Below are 17,044 nucleotides of genomic sequence, written 5' to 3' on the forward strand. Positions count from 1 at the left end.
CACTGCAAGCTCCGCCTCCCGGGTTCACGCCATTCTCCTGCCTCAGCCTCCCAAGTAGCTGGGACTACAGGCGCCCGCCACTACGCCCGGCTAATTTTTTGTATTTTTAGTAGAGACGGGGTTTCACCGTTTTAGCCGGGATGGTCTCGATCTCCTGACCTCGTGATCCGCCCGCCTCGGCCTCAGAAACATTTTCAATCAGGCTCAAAGAATGCAGGAACTGTGGGGCCAGGTTTCATATAAAATGCGTTTTAGAGTTCACTTGGTGAGATATTCCCCTCAAAGAGCACAGGGACTTGATTCCCCAGCACTCTCCTGCCTCTGGATCTTTGCTCAAGCTGTTGTCTCTGTCTGGAGTGCCCTTCACCTCCATGTCTGCTTGTTGAAGATTTGCTGCCTCTAGGACACCTCTTCCAAGAAGCTTTCTGGAACCTTCTCCAAGTCGGAATTATGGTTTTTCTCAGGCATTGCACATGGCTTGTGCCATTCACTGCTGACTGCTTTGCATTAGGGTTCTTTTGGTCTTAGAGCCCTGTAGCTGATTTATTAAAGGTGTGGGCTGCCTAGGATGGTGGTTTCCTGCCATGGCTTCACATTAGAACCACCTGGGGAGCCTTGACTCACCTGGCCAAGTGGAAACCAGCATCAGTATATTTCGAGAGCTCCTCAGGTGGTTCTAATGTGCAACCAGGAATAAGAGCCTTGCACTGAGACCTCCTCCCATCTCATGCATGGAATTTTTCTTGCATCTGTTCTTCCAGCTCACAGGCCCCTTCCCCTCACGACATGGAAAGAGAGATGAGTTTCCACTAAGACAAGACCTTAGCTCTGACTTGATGTCTTAAGCAGGAGATGTAAAACCTAACTCACAGTGTCCGCGGGGTCCTGAATTTCTGTTCCACCCCTTTCAGCCAACTGGCAGCTTGGACTGGAGTTAGCGACAGATGTCTTCTGAGCAGGACTTACAGGTAAGCATATGAGTCCACAAGCTGGCCAGAGAGCCAAGAAGCATCTTGAATCTAAAAGGCTTAGGGCTCAAGCTTGCATATGGGCCCTAGGAGATGAATATATTCAGCTGTTATGGGCTCAGCAAGATCCTTCTCCTAGGAATTCGGGGTCATTATATCACTTTATATCAACAACAAATCTTTCGGCTTCTGCAGCAAATGGGCATCTCTGTGTCTGTTGTAGGCTTGCTTAGTCCTAGGTCCTTGTTGAAGAAGTCACAGAACTTGGACCAGGGGGTATTTTGAGCATATCATTTCTCAGTTATTACCTACTGTGGCTTCCTACTGCTTGAGTCTAAGACCCTAAACCCTGCTTGAACCTGGCATTGAAGACCTCCTACAAATCTTGTCCAGGCCTCCTCAACCTATCTTGTCCCGGCCTAAAATGATTATTGGAGATCTCTTAGCCTTATTGTTACCTAGGGGCCTTTTGGGGAGGGTAGATGTTGGTGGAAACATCCCTGATATTTTATGCCAAATATGTATGCATTCCTTTCCCCAAGGAACACAAATCTGTAACTTTCAAGTTACCAGAGGGATTCATAATCCCCCAACCTGGAGGTTAAAGAATCCCTGGTATTCTACAAGTCCTTTGTTTTACAGAGGAAGAAAATGAAGCCTGGAAAGGCAGTGACTTGCCCAAGGTCACACAGAGTGGGTCTATAGCTGTAGGCCTGCAGGTATCCAGTTGCCCCCACCAAGCACCCCTGCATCTGTCCCTGAAGTTCTCAGCTTCCTCAGTGATGTCTGCAGGCTGATCATCAGAGTAGTGTGCTGCTGGGTCAGGGCCAGCAGGAGCCTCCACAGGCCTCGGGCCTCTGTGGCCTAGCCTGGATGACACAGGCTGTTCTGGCATCTTCTCTCACCCGGTCCTTCTTGGGTCCCTGGGCATTTGTTTATGCAGTGGTCCATCTAAGTGGGACAATTTCCTCCAAGGAGACCCTTCTGGTCCAACTGTGGCATGGGTCTCATGCATGCATTTTCCTATCCTTTTTTTTTTTTTTAATAGGAGAAAAGGCATACAAATTTATTTAACATGTGTACATGGGAGACCTCACAATGAAGACCCCGTGCATGTATTTTCTAACACACTGTTTACCTTCTCTGTCCTTTGGCCTGTAATTCACCTTAATTTGGGAGGTCAGATAGGGCTTTCAGGTATTTTTTATTTTTTAATTAAATACTTTTTTTCTTAGTGTTTTGGACTTTATTAGATTACCATCTTTTGATCACTAGGGAACTTAAAAACTTGATGTTTCATTCCATTTGCAACTCCAGTATCCACCAATGATAGTTACATTACAGACAGGAACACCAGGTCATAAAGTCCTGGTAATTGTCTTTGCTATACTATTTTGACGGTTAAATAATATAAGGCATACTAATGTGATAAATGGGCACCAACTGAATGTAACACTTTACTGTTGGTGTTATTGTGGTGGGTTTAGTTCCTGCAGAGATTTTGCAAACTCCTTGAGGTCAGGAATTATGCCTTAAACTCTCATTGCCCCACTGCAAGCAGCACAACGCTGGGCATTTCAAAGCTTTCCATAAATCACCGTGTGCTGATCTTAAACAGGCTTTACGCCAGGTAAAGACTGGGGAGGAGATGCCTGGGAGAAAACTGTTCAGGGAAAGATTTCAGCTGGTCGAACCCGGTGTTGTGTCTGCTCCAAAAAGAGTGTGAAAGAGCAACTTGTTGGCAAGCGGCCTTCCTTTGTGAGTAGCAGAGCTCATTTTTTCTCAGTCCCAGAGGCAAAATCAGACTTGGCTTAAGGCCGTGCTGCTGGGCTGTGGCTGTGTGTGATCTGAGGAGAGTGGGAAGCCAAAGTCCCAGCCAGGGCTGGCCCTCTGTGGCCACCAGCAGCCACTGGCTGTGCCTCTACTGTGATCCCCAGCATGGAGCCTTTGAACGGACCCTGTTATGTGGCATATACAGTGGATGAGGCTAGAAGCCTGGACATCTAGTGATTTCTGACCTTGAGCCTGAGACCTAGGAGGCCTTCTCTGTAGAGTCCAGAGGTAGGACCTGTGGCCAGTGGCACCGACTCCTCACCTGCACCCGGGACCAGGACCAGACTCCTTAGCTGTGCATTCAACATTCTAAAACGTGCTTCTCTTTGGTCTCCTCTCTCTGGCCCATCTCCCCTGGGAGATGGGCACTGGGAAGACCCTACATTTACACCACATCCCTACCACTTCTGTGCCCTGCAACCCTCCTCACCATTTCCTGCTCCTTTTTGGAGACATTCTTCTCACTCTTCTCTGGGCCAAATCCACCCTCCTCTTCTAGTTCTTCCTACCAACTCTCTTACAAGCCTGACAGTTGTAAAGCAGGCCTGCGGGGAAGGTGAAGGTGAATTTGAGGCTAAACCTCTCTGTCATGATCATGGATTTTGGTGTCAGACACACTTGGGATCAAAATCCAGTTCTGCCACTCACTGCTGAGAGACCTGGGGCAGGAACTTCATCTTCTGTAGACTCAGTTTAATCTGTAAAATGGTGGTAATAGCTGTCCCATGGTATTGTGGAGAGAATTAAGAGATGCTGAATATAAATAATATCTCAGGCCCATAGCCAGTCCCTAGTAAATGGAAGCCATTCTAACGCCAAGCCTTCAGATCATAGGTGCTTCTCAAATGTCCACATGGCCGGGCCCCCAATCTGCTCAGGACACCCAAGGGTGAAGCATGTTATTGGCTTCCCAGGGTTTCCTAGTACTATATCATGGAGGCATCTGGGGATTGTGGTGTGATGCTTAGCCAAGAGGCTGCCCTCTGCACCCCCACTTCAGGGAGGCGAGGAAGGGGAGCAGTGTGTGTGTGTGGCAGAGATGGCATTGATTGAGAACTGGCAGACCTGGCTTCCCTGCCAGCGCTGCCATGTTCCAGTGTCTAACCTATAGATGTTGGCTGAATGAGAGGAAATTACATACTCTGTGAGCCTCAGTTCTCTGATCTACACGATGGGGGAATAGTACCTTTTGGGGTTGGTGTGGACACTATATGAAGGAGCTGGAATACTGCAGCTATTTGGAGCCATATTCTAGAACCAAACTGCCTGGGTTCACATCCTAGCTCTGCCACTTACTGGCTCTGCAGTTTTGAACAATTACATCACCTTTTAGTTTGACTTACTCTTATAAAAAGTAAGGACAATGTTAACGTCTATCTGACAGTGCTGTCAAATATGTTTTCATATATGAAATACTTAAAACATTGTTTGGCAGTAGGTAAGTACTTGATAAATATTATCTTCTCTTTTATGATGATGAGAGTGCCTGTTACAGTGCCTGGCATGTCTTAGGGTGCCCAGTAATGAATTTCCTGTCATTCTTCTGCCTGAATCTAAGGGAATATGGTGCCTGAGACTCCATCATTAAGTATTTTTTATTTCCTAGTGTTTGACAATAATATGGAAATGCCCTAATTTGGGGATAATCATACTCTGTGTATTGTTCAATTCAGTTATACGATAATTGGCCATTCTGTGCCAGGTGCCAGGCTGAAGCATTCTCATCAGTGATGCGAAATTGAATGGCATGTGATCTCTGCCTTGGGATCACAGTTTTGTGGGGGGTTTATTTATTTGTGCATTTATTCATTTTCACATTTGTTTGGAGCCTATACCACAAATGTACAGAGTACAACAGGTGTTATGATGAGGTCTGAAGGTACACAGGAAAGGGCAGAGAAGTTTTCCTTTAAGGCGATATTTGAGCCAACCTTGAAGTCTGTGCCAAAGATGGTCAAACCAGGGCATGGGAATGAGTAATGATGGGGGTGAGAAGGACTTGCCAAACAGCATCAAATTTGGAACAAAAGACTGTTGGTTTGGAAGTGCACATCGTTTCTTCCATTGTCACTCACCAAGCAGGCAGCGTGTGCTGGCACAGTGCTAGGGGCTAAAAATAGAGGGGCATAAGACCCACTCTCTGCTCTCCAAATGCTCATAGTCTGTTGGGGGCACACCTTGTTGTCCAGGCCGGAAGGTTGTGCATCTTCCTGCAATCATCCTGCTCCCTCCCCAAGCCTATCAATCACCAAAGCCAGACGGTTACTCAGTGTTGATCACTAAGGGTATATATGGGTGATGTAGTTTGAATATTTGTCTCCATCCGTATCTCATGTTGAAATGTAATCCCGAGTACTGGAGGTGGAGCCTGGTGGGAGGTGAATGGGAGGTGATTGGATCGTGGGGATGGATTTCTTATGAATGGTTTAGCACCATTCCCCCTTGGTGCTTGTCTTTGCGATAGTGAACTCTTGTAAGATCTGGTTGTTTAAAAGTGTGTGGCACCTCGCTCACTCTCTCTTGCTCTGCTTCCACCATGTGAAGTGCCTGGTCCTGCTTTGCCTTCCCTTCTGCCATGATTGTAAGCTTCCTGAGGCCTCCCAAGAAACTGGTGCTGGAGCTGTGCTTCCTGTACAGCATGCAGAACTGTGAGCCAATTAAACCTCTTTTCTTTATAAATAGCCCAGTCTCAGGTGTTTCTTTATAGCAATGCAAGAATGGCCTAATACAATGGGAGTGATTAGGAAATTTAGGATGAGTATTAAGTGTGGGAGGTAGGAAGCAGGGTGTCATTGTGTAGAGAGAAGCGTCAAATTTAAAGACTTGGGGGGTTGTCTAGCTTCACTCAGAGAGTCTGACCACAGCCTTCATCCCCAGGTTGCACAAGGTGTGAACACTGTGCTCTGTTGGGAGTTGATGATGCCATTCCTGGGCCTGAAGGGGGTCATCTGTCGGCTACCCTGCACTCAGCCTGTGGACCCAAAGAGAGGCCCACCTTAAAACCCCTTTCTTCTATCTTATCACACCTGGCTTTGGAGAGGAACTCAAGTAATGATCTCTGTAGTAGCTGATGAAATCCATATCAGCCATCAGTCTTGACCAGGATAGGTCTTCATTTAGGATTAACGAAAAGCAAAGAACAAGTCAGAACTATGAGGAGAATCGGGAGCTCAAAGGAAGGTGATCAGGCTGAGAATTTGGAGTGACTGTTTCTGTCTGAAACAGGGCTAATGTAGGAAATGGAAGAAAAAGTTTAATGAATATTCTCAGAGGTATTTTAAAAGACACTTAATTGACAAAATAAGAGAAAGTTTGACACAAAATCGAGGAAATCAGGCAATAGAAAAGAATCCTGAGAACAAAATAGAAAAAAGAAATGGAGACAGTAACTGTTAGAAGGGGCATATAGCTAAAAATAAGATTAGTGAATTAGAAGACAACTTAGAGAAATTTCCCAGAATGCAGAGCAAAAATACAAAGATAGAAATTATGAGAATAAATGATAAACTTATAAGATAGAATTTAGTAGGTCCAAGAACCACAAAATAAATATACTGAAGTAGAGAACAGAGTGCATAAAGGAGAGACAATAATCAAGGAAACATAAAAAAATTTCTTCTCGTAACAGAAGAAATGTGAATTTAGACTCAAACTCTCACTTTTATCAAGGTACAAACCTATATACGTCTGAAATTTTGGAATTCTAACCAAGAGAAAAATCATGCAATCTTTTAAAAAGGAAAAATAAGCCAGTTACAAAGGAGAGAGGGTCATTTTGTTATTGGATTTTTAATCCGCAACACTAAATGCTGCAATACGAAGGAGCAATGTTTATACAGTTTAGCGGGGAAAAAATAGATACCCTATAATTCTATAATCATTTTAATGATTCTTCTTATGTGAAGGCAAAATAAATAAATATTCAAGACCCAGTCTCAGCCAGTATGCTACTCATGTAACTTTAAACAAATAACTCCTTAAGGAAGTTCTTCAGCCAACTAAAAAAATAATTAGCACAAGACACCCAACAAAGGGGAAGATAAAGGTGCATGAAACTTGTGAGCAACGAAACCAATGATGCATATCTATGGTCTGATGCAGAAGTAGAGAGAGCCAATTATGGAGAAAGACAGCCAGGGCTCCAATCCTTACTCTGGTTCTGTTGTGGTTGGAGATGTTTGGTCCCTTGTGATGGTTAAAAAACCAGGCAATGGCTAGATCCTGACCTCTTCTCATGCAATTGAGGACACATGTGCTACTCAGAAACAGAAGAAAGGGAATCAAAGCATAACCGTATTAATACTTGTACATGTGCTTGGCACAAGACAGGGCCTTTGGCAAAAGCTGAATTGTAGAGTCTGGCTTAGATTCAGGAGTGGGGTTTTTCCACTTCTCCAGTTTAAATCAAAATCTTGGGAATAGCAAGTTCAGCTGTGCTGAAAGTTGGAGAGAGTTCTCTGTCTCTCTGTCTCAATCTGCAGAATAGATCATGTCCCTTTTTTTTTTTTTTGGACAAATACAGAGAAGGTAGAGAGAAAGAAAGCTATGGCCAGATTTTTTTTTTTTTTTTTCTGAAGACAAGAAGCCCTAATTGGAGGTAAGAAGGAGAAAAGAGCACTCTATAGTTATTGACCTTTAAAGAAAAGTAACTTTATAAAAAAAAATTCCCCACTGAAAAATCTGGACTCTGACCCATCAGGTTACCAATCCACAGTCCCTTTGGTAATGGTGAGGTTATCAAGGGAGCAGGCAGAGTTGGGATTCACGGCACAGGTGCTGAAGGGTCCTCTTGCTCTATACCCCCCTCCTTTTGTTCTGTCTTAATCCACTGGTCAGCCTCCAGGGGTGACGCTGTTCTTATCAGAAGGGTCCTGATCTCACCTTTGTGAGGCTGCTCACCTGAAGTCTCCTACTGCTCCTTTCTATTCTCCTAGGACCAGATGTGCAATGTAGCCTCTGATGTGGGCAGTAGGAAAGCACTTCTTTTTTCATAATTTAAACAATTTTGTGAGTACATAGTAGGCATATATATTTGTGGGGTACAAGAGATGTTTTGATACAGGCATGCAATGTGAAATAAGCACATCGTGGGGAATGGGGTATCCATCCCCTCAAGCACTTATCAGAAAAGCATTTCTTAACTCTAGGTCACTGTATCTTAGGAACACTCCAGGTAATTCTACATTATCAAAAAATTTATCTTACATTCAATTTCCATCTCAAATTATGCCTAGCCATGTTGTATATGCTTGTACAAAGTATGTACAACACACCCACACAATCTGAAACATTCCAAATTTGAATGTAAACTCTCTTTCATTATTATGGTCCCATTGAGACATTAAATTTCAAGATGAAATTCCCTTTGCTTGTAAGATTCTGGAGGAAAAATGCCCACGATGTCTTCCTGTATGCTTCCTTTTTCTGCTTATTCTCAGCTAGAGAGGTCCCACCCAGATACGTGGGTGCAGTCTCGGTTTCTTTTGTTACTTTAGCCTCTATTATCTTTTACTGCAATGATTGAACACCTCTTTAGCGTCTTCAATATTAAATTCACCAAACCTCAAATCTCCCACATGTTCTGGTTTTCTTTTCTAGTTCCAGAGCATCGGCAGAGCCTCTAAAATGAGGAGTAGATTGGCTTGGCTGAGGGATTCACCAACAGCCTCAGATACACCTATACATTCTGTTACTTTATCCCAGGTATCCTTTTAATAAACCACCTAATTCATGAGGATCTATGATTTTCAATATCATGTTTTCCAACATTCAAGAGCACTGGCCCCAAATAGATACACATGATTATGAATGTAGTTGCAAAAGAATTCTATATAAAATATTAGCAAATCAAATCCAGAAAAGTATTAAAAGTACAACATATGATGACAGAGTAAAGTTTTGTTCCAGGAAAGCAGATATTGCTTAACATTAGGAAGTCTGTTAATGAATTCATTTTACTAATAGGTTAAAGGAGAAAAACCATATGACTTTCTCTCTGAGTGCTGAAACAGATTTTACTAAATTCATCATCTTTTCCTAATTAAAGGTTTTAGTAAATTTTGAAGAGAAGGAGGGTTTTAAAATATAAAGAGCATAAGAAGGGAGCAAACATCACATTTAATGGTACAATAACAGAGGCCTCACTAGTAAAGATAAGAAAAGTATAAGGACACATACTGTCCCTGGGATTAATCAAGATGGTGTTGGAGTCTTAGCCAAAGCAGTAAGATAAGATAAAGAAATGAGAGATACAAATATTGGAGGGAAAGAGCCAAAGTTATAATTATTTGAGGATGATAAAATTGTTTGGTTGAACTATCTAAGAAGATTGACTTTTAAGAATTTGTACTTAAGGTGCTGAATACAGAATAGTAACCTTCCTATATATTAACATTACCTAGTTAGGCAACTAGGAGAAAAGGTGCTTATAACAAAAATATCTATAAAATATATAAGAATAATTGTAGCTGGAAAATAGAAGAACTAGAAGGAAACTTTGGAGAGTATCTTTTATAATCTTGGTATAGAGAAAACCCTTCTTAGCATATAACAGAGTCTATAATATGTTAAAAAATACTGACAGATTTGACTAGATAAGAATTGTGAATGTCTGTAAAACAAAGACACCGTAAAGAAAGTTCAAAGTTGAGTGACAAACCCAGAGAAAATATTTGCTACTTGTGTAACATAGAAAAGATTTCTATCCAGAATATAAAAGACTTCTACCAATCAATCAAACAAGTTCTAACAACCTGACAGAAAATGGTCAAAAAGTATTGGATTAGCTAAGGATATGTTTGCTAATGTAACAGACAAGCTGCCAAATCTCATTTGAAATACAAAAATAGTTGTTCATTATCACCTGGCAGCTCTTCTCCAACCAGTGATTCAGGAACCCAGGCATTGCATCTTACACACTTAGCTTCCAAGGTCAAAGTGTTCAAACTGAAAATATGGCATGGACCTTGCTCTAAATGGTGCTTGTATTTCAGTAGGGGGAGACAGATTCAAGAAAAAACAGGTAAATTTAAAGAGCAAGAAAATTTCAGAGAATGGTGAGTGCTAAAGGTAAGGAACTTTAAGGTGATCAGCAAAAGTCTTTCTGAGGAGGTGACATCTGAGCTGTGACATTAAGAGCCAGCCATGTGAGAATCTTATGAAATAGCCTTTTAGGCAGTGGAATAGCAATAAAAAAGGCTTTGTGATGGGAATGAACTTGACTTATTTGAGGTGCCCAGAAAATGTTGGTTTGGAGGAGTGAGGAGAGTGGTAGTATCAGATATGGGGGACTTCCATGTTATGTAGGACCTTATAGACAAAGCAAAGGAATTTGATTTTTATTCTGTGTGCAGTGAGAAACCAACATGTCACAGTTTCAGTGGTATCTGCATATTGATGCCAAATCAACACCCCTTCATGTTAAAAACTCTCAATAAACTAGGTATTAAAGGAACATACCTCAAAATAATAAGAGCCATCTATGACAAACCCACAGCCAACATCATACTAAATAAGCAAAAGCTGGAATCATTCCCCTTGAAAACCAGCGCTAGACAAGAATGCCCTCTCTCACCATTCCTGTTCAATATAGTATTCGAAGTCCTGGCCAGAGCAATCAGGCAAGAGAAAGAAATAAAGGGCATCCAAATAGGAAGAGAGGAAGTCAAAGTATCCCTGTTTGCAAATGACATGGCTCTATAAATAGAAAACCCCATACTTTCAGCCCAAAAGCTCCTTAAGCTGATAACTTCAGTGACATCTCCAGAATACAAAATAAATGTACAAAAATCAGTAGCATTCCTATACACCAACAGCTATCAAGCCGATAGCCAAATCAGGAACAAAATCTCATTCACAATTGCCACAAAAGAATAAAATACCTGGGAATACAGCTAACCAAGGAGGCGAAAGATCTCTTCCATAACTACAAAACACTGCTAAAAGAAGTCAGAGATGTCAAACAAATGGATAAACATTGCAATGCTCATGGATACGAAGAACCAATATTGTTAAAATGGCCAGACTGCCGAAAGCAACTTACAAATTCAATACTAATCCTGTAAAACTATCAATGACATTCTTCACAGAACTAGAAAAAACTCTTTTAAACTTCATATGGAACCAAAAAAGAGCCCCAATAACCAAGGCAATCCTAAGCAAAAAGAACAAAGCTAGAGACAACATATTACCTGACTTCAAATTATACTGCAGGGCTACAGTAACCAAAACAGCATGGTACTGGTACAAAAACAGACACACAGACAATTGGAAGAGAATAGGGAGCCCAGAAATAAGGCTGCCCACACTCAACCATTTATCTTTGACAAAGATGACAAAAACAAGTAATGGAGAAAGGACTCCTTATTCAATAAATGGTTCTGAGATAACTGACTAGCCATGTGCAGGAGATTGAATCTGGACCATTTTCTTACACCATATGCAAAATTCAAATTAAGATGGATTAAAGACTTAAATGTAAAACCCAAAACTACAAGAACCCTGGAAGACAACCTAGGCAATACCATTCTGGACATGAGAACAGGCAAAGGTTTCATGACAGATGCCAGAAGCAAATGCAACAAAGCAGAAATTGACAAATGGGATCTAATTAAACTAAAGAGTTTCTGCACAGCAAAAGAAACTAACAACAGAGTAAACAGACAACCTACAGAATAGGAGAAAATATTTTCAAACTATGCATCTGGTTTAATATCCAGCATCTATAAGGAACTTAAACAAATCTATAAGAAATAAAAAACAAATAAACCTGTTAAAAAGTGAGCAAAAGGCATGAACAGACACCTTTCAAAAGAAGACATACATGCGGCCAACAAGCATATGAAAAAAAGCTCAGCACCACTGATCATTAAAGAAATGCAAATCAAAACCACAATGAGATACCATCTCACGCCAGTCAGAATGGCTATTATACGATAGTCAAAAAATAACAGGTGCTGGGGAGGTTGTGGAGGAAAAGGAACATTTATACACTGTGGGTGCAAGTGTAAATTAGTTCAACAATTGTGGAAAACAGAATGGCAATTCCTCAAAGACCTAAAAACAGAACACCATTAAGCCTATCAATCCTATTACTGGGAATATAAATAATTCTATCATAAAGACACATGCACGCGTCGCAGCACTATTCACAATAGCAAAGACATGGAATCAACTTAAATGCCCATCAGTGGTAGACTGGATAAAGAAAATGTGCTACATATATACCATGGAATACTATACAGCCATAAAAATGAATGAGAACATGTCCTTTGCAGGTACATGGATGGAGCTGGAGGCCATTTTCCTTAGCAAACTAATGCAAAAACCGAAAACCAAATACCACATGTTCTCACTTATAAGTGGGAGCTAAATAATGAGAACACATGGACACATAGAGGGGAACAACAGACACTGAGGCCTACCTGAGGGTGGAGGGTGGAAGGAAGGACAGGATCAAGAAAAATAACTAATGGATATCAGGCTTAATACCTGGGTGATGAAATAATCTGTATAGCAGAACCCCATGACACAAGTTTACCTACATAACAAACCTGCACATGTACCCCCGAACTTAAAATAAAAAGAAAAAAGAAAAAAACAAGAAGCAATGAAGACAGCTTTTGAAAATGCTTTCTGGAAGGCATTTTTGAACAAATTTGTGCTAGTTCTCCACCTCCTCTTCAGGCTGAGCTTTGCTGACTGAAGTCATTTGACAAGATTTCAGCAGAGTGGAGTGTGTAAATGTTATGCAGAATGAATTACAGGTCTGGAGACATTCATTTCATTACCCTAGATTCTATTAGCAAAGTTCACTTTATGGAACAGTCCAAAATGATTTATCTAATGCCTGCTTCTTCAGGAATGTTTCAAATCCTGAGCTATAAGTGGTTGTTGAAATTATTAAGAGATGTCCATTTTAGCCACTAGGAGGTATAGTTGTGATTTTGGAATGTGCCTTCAATTTCTTTTTAAAATGCAAACCAGACCATCCAATAGAACACCTAACACAGTACCCAGCCCACAGCCCAGGCTCAGTGCTGATGAAGGAATGCAAATGTCAGTTGTCAGAGAGTCCTCTCTCCCCAGGCCTGCTTTGGATATGCTCCAGGAGAATGGGGCTGTGTCCCCGATACCTACAACAGCTCTTGGCACATGGTAGGCACACAATCAATATCTCTGAATGACTGAGTGGATGAATGATGAGATTTTCCTGCACTTCAGCCACATTTTCACACACAGTGGAGCCATCCATCCATGTGGAACCCTTGGTTTGCCAACACTGCTTTGGAAAAGTGGGCCAAGGATAAGGACTGTTGTCATGGCAGTCTGACACCGCCCATACCTTCAGCCTCTATCCACATCCTCTTCCACCCTCAACCCAGTGCTGTGGCCACTGGCAACTTCCCCCAGGCCTCCTTCTCAAGGCTTTTACAAGTGCTATTCCTCTTTGGGGAGAGGCCTCATCTGTACCCACCCTTGCCTTGACTCACTGATTGGCAAGTTAACTCTTGCTTATCCTTCAGGTTCCAGCTCAGATGTGGCCTCTTCCAGGGTATTTCTCTGACTGCACCCTCTCCCCTCACTGACTACATAAGGTTTCCCTGTCATGTGCTCTTATGTACTGTTTTTCAAAGTGATTATCAATGTTTATAATTTTGTTGTGTAATTATTTTAAGGCAGCATTGTGTAGTGATTAAGAGCAGGAACAAATGCCTGCAGGGTTGAAACTTCAGCTCTGTCATGTGCAAACTGCGTGAACTTGGGCAAGGTATTTCACCTTTCTTTATTCACTTCCTCATTGGTAGACAGGAGACGACACCACTACTCACTTTTAGGGTTACTTGTGACAATTAAATAAGCTAATAAATGTAAATGCCACTTTGAGTTGGCCTTTTTTATTTGACGAGTATGTGTCTCCTGTGCTAGCCCCATGAGGATAGAGTGGGCATTTTACTTGTCATTGTATTCTCATATTTAGTGGTGTCTGGTCTCTGGTAGGCACTCAATAAATTTTTGTGAAATAAATGAAGGAAAAATCACAAACTTTTTTTCAACAAGCCAGGTACAAGACAAGAGGAGGAAGCCTGCTGCAAAGGATGCAAAAGGCCCATGCCTCCAACCTCAGTCTGGCTGTCATTGCTAACGTCACTAAGCCATGGTTGCCAGGCAATTGCTGGGGGAAAAAAGCACTTTCAAAGCCAACTAAGCACCTACTGTGTGACACTGTGTGACAAACTCTCAACAGCATCCAGTCCTGGCCCTGTAGGTCCTCCCGGAATAAAAATTTTCTCAAACCTATATATGTGGCTCTAATGAGATGTGTTAAAATAGAGCAGTGCTTTTCAACTTTTGTATGAAAGCTGCAGGATTTGTTAAAACATAGACTGCTGGCCCCACCCTCAGTAATTCTAATATTGAAGTAACTCTGGGTTGGGATTCAAGAATTTGCATTTCTGACAAGTTCTACTTGCAGCAAATCCTGTTGGTCCAGAGACTACATTTTGAGAACCACTGAAATAGGGGCATGTTCTTGACATGAATGGGGAAGCAGTGTGATTAAATTTGACTCTAGGAGAGTGGTCATAGAGGTGGTGACATTTGAACTGGGCCTAGAAGGATGAGAAGGATTTTTCAGAATAAGGACACAGGTTCCCTGCAGGGCATGAACAAGACGGGGAGAGATGAGCGCCTGTTTGGGAAATGATCTTATGTGGGAAGAGGCAGAGGCTGCCGAGCCTGCAGCATTGTGGGGTCATTCATCCCTTATTCTTGGCCAGCGTGGAGGGAGGTAGCCTGGGGAGAAGATGAACCCAGGAGGGGAAAGGTTAGGCAGGAAGAGCTTAGACTCTTCAGCTTTGTAGTTAGACAGACCTAGACTTGAATCTCGACTTCATCACTTACCACCTGCAGGACTCTCAACAAGTAATTTACTTTTCTCAGCCTCAATTTTCTCACCTGTGAAATGGGACTAGAATAGTCACTGTTTCATAAAATAATCGTGGACTAAATTAGCTAATAGATGTGAATTACTCAGCTTTAGGTTCGGCCCGTAGAGGATACTCTGTAATGGAAGCTATCATCAGTATTAGTCATTAGTATTGGTCAGTCTAATGCAGAAATGACCACACTGAAGATATTTATACATCTGCCTTCCCTACCAGGCTGCGTTCCCTGAGCATGGTCTGTGACACCTCTTCTGGGTACCCCCACTCCCCGCAGAGCCAGAGCCTGGTGAAGCTCAGATGCTCAAGAGATGTGACTCAGGCAGGGATCTCTGCTCCCATGCAGGGCTCTGGTGGTCTGGGAGCAGTGTCAGGGAGCCAGCAGACACTAGGAAGAGAAGCAGGATGAGGAAGCCAGAGAAACTGGAGGAGACTTCTGCCTGTGCCCCAGCATGACCTCAAACAGGTGGCCCAGCCCCAGGAAACTGTAAACCCAAGCCCAACTTCAGGCTGCATGGACTCCTCCCAAGGGAGGAGGGCTTGCCACGGTGCAGCAAATACAGCAGTGAGCAAGACAAATAGTGTCCTGCATTCACGGAGGTCAGGAAAGCTGAAGCAGATGAGAAATCAGGTAGCTTTTCAAGGAGCTCATGGGTAATTATACTAGGACATGTGGGGTGGGAGCACCTGCCCTTGAGAACACTCCTCCTGGCGGAAGGGCTCAGTTCACTTTTGGTGATTTTGGGATAAAGAACAGGGCACATAAGATCCTGCTCTTTCTTTCTTCCATTCTGCAGGGAGTGAGCCTGTCCATGGCAAGCTCCAGCCAGCTCTGCTCCTCCTGCCCTACCTCTTAGGTGACCCCGCTTCCTAGTCTGCATGTCAGCACCCAGAAGCCCTTTTGCCCACAGATATCAGCCACATGTTCTAATATCAACTGTACTGGAAATAAAGGTGAGATTTTGTTCTCCCATCTGCCTTGCTTTTTTTTTTTCTTATTCTTTATTGCATCAGAACTAACACGGAGTAGAAGGGTGCTATTTTGTAGCCCCTCAAACTCTCCAACGAAGGGAGTTAGAAAGGGTTAGGAAGTGCTATTTTAGATAAGGGAGGTGAGAAAGACCTCTATGATGAAGTGACATTTTGGTGGGGAGATCTGAAGGAAGTGAGGGAGAAAGCCTTGTGGGAGAAGAGCACTCTGGGGAGAGGGAGCAGCCTGTGCAAAGGCCTTGAGGCAGGCATTTGTTTAGTGTGTGTGTGGAACAGCAAGGATGGCAATGTGGCTGGAGAATAGTGAAAGCAGAGGGGACGGTTCTCAGGGATTCTTGACTTTCTGTCCCAGGCAGGTATTTGTCTAGATTGGATAATGGGCATAGCACAGCTCATAGAAGGAATAAATGCTTCATTCTGGAAGCCCACAAACTATTGTTTTGAGCAATCTGCAAGTTTCCCCACCCCTGCTTGGTGCCAGGACTCCCCTTTGAGAGCCAAGAGCTGGAGAGATGTGCCAGAAACACAGATTGGAAGATGCATGACATCCCTTGGGAGAGACTGGCTGGAAGGCAAGATCCACAAGACAGAAAGCAGAGATGACCCTCAAGTTGAAAAGCTTGAACCTAGCTGGGTGATTGATTACCAGGAGACCACCCTGATTTTGTTCTCTAATTACGGTGTTTATTTGATGCATCATATTGGGCCTGAAACCCTTAATACCAGCCGGTGCTGTTCAGTGTTACAATGTCCTAATTAAGCTTTGATTTATATGCTAATTTTATTCCAAGTGTGTTCAAAAGGGGAAAAGTTATTAGACTTTATTTTGAGATTACATTTTAATCCTGAGGTCTGCCAGAGAGCACTGTGTTTATTCTGTTGGCTTTTGTTTCCAGGATGTTAGTGGCAATTGTGATTATTTCCTCGGAGGGGAAGGATGATGAAGTGGTAAGGAGCTGTTTAGAGTTGGTGGGGCTTCTGCTAATTGGAATTATGTAACCTCTTGCCTTTGCCTTGACAGCTTTGCAATGAGGCTTGCCTTGACTGCCCAGCTGCTTAGGAGGGACAACAGGGATGTGCCTTAGGGATGTCGCAGGGAATATTTGGAAGGAAGGCCATTACATGAGGGAGTGATTGGATTCTGGAATGTGAGGGGAAATTGGGCTTTTACCACATGAGTCCCTGAAATTTGTAAGAGTCACGCAAAAACCAGCAAGGGGAGCAGCTGGTCTTTGCTACAGAAAGGATGTGTTTTGTTTGTTTGTTTTTATACTGTTATTTATCCTAAGTGGATGTCACTTGAAATTTCCT

At 42.6% G+C, this 17,044-nt stretch overlaps 1 annotated feature.

Annotated features, from left to right (window-relative positions):
• Positions 13,117-13,266: an enhancer, noted in NCBI's record as "active region_4516". NCBI's record gives its function as "activates an Ori minimal core promoter by ATAC-STARR-seq in GM12878 lymphoblastoid cells {active_cell/tissue: GM12878}" and the evidence as "EXISTENCE:reporter gene assay evidence [ECO:0000049][PMID:35858748]".

Source organism: Homo sapiens, chromosome 11 (assembly GCF_000001405.40).
Source record: "Homo sapiens chromosome 11, GRCh38.p14 Primary Assembly".
Classification (NCBI taxonomy): Eukaryota; Metazoa; Chordata; class Mammalia; order Primates; family Hominidae; genus Homo; species Homo sapiens.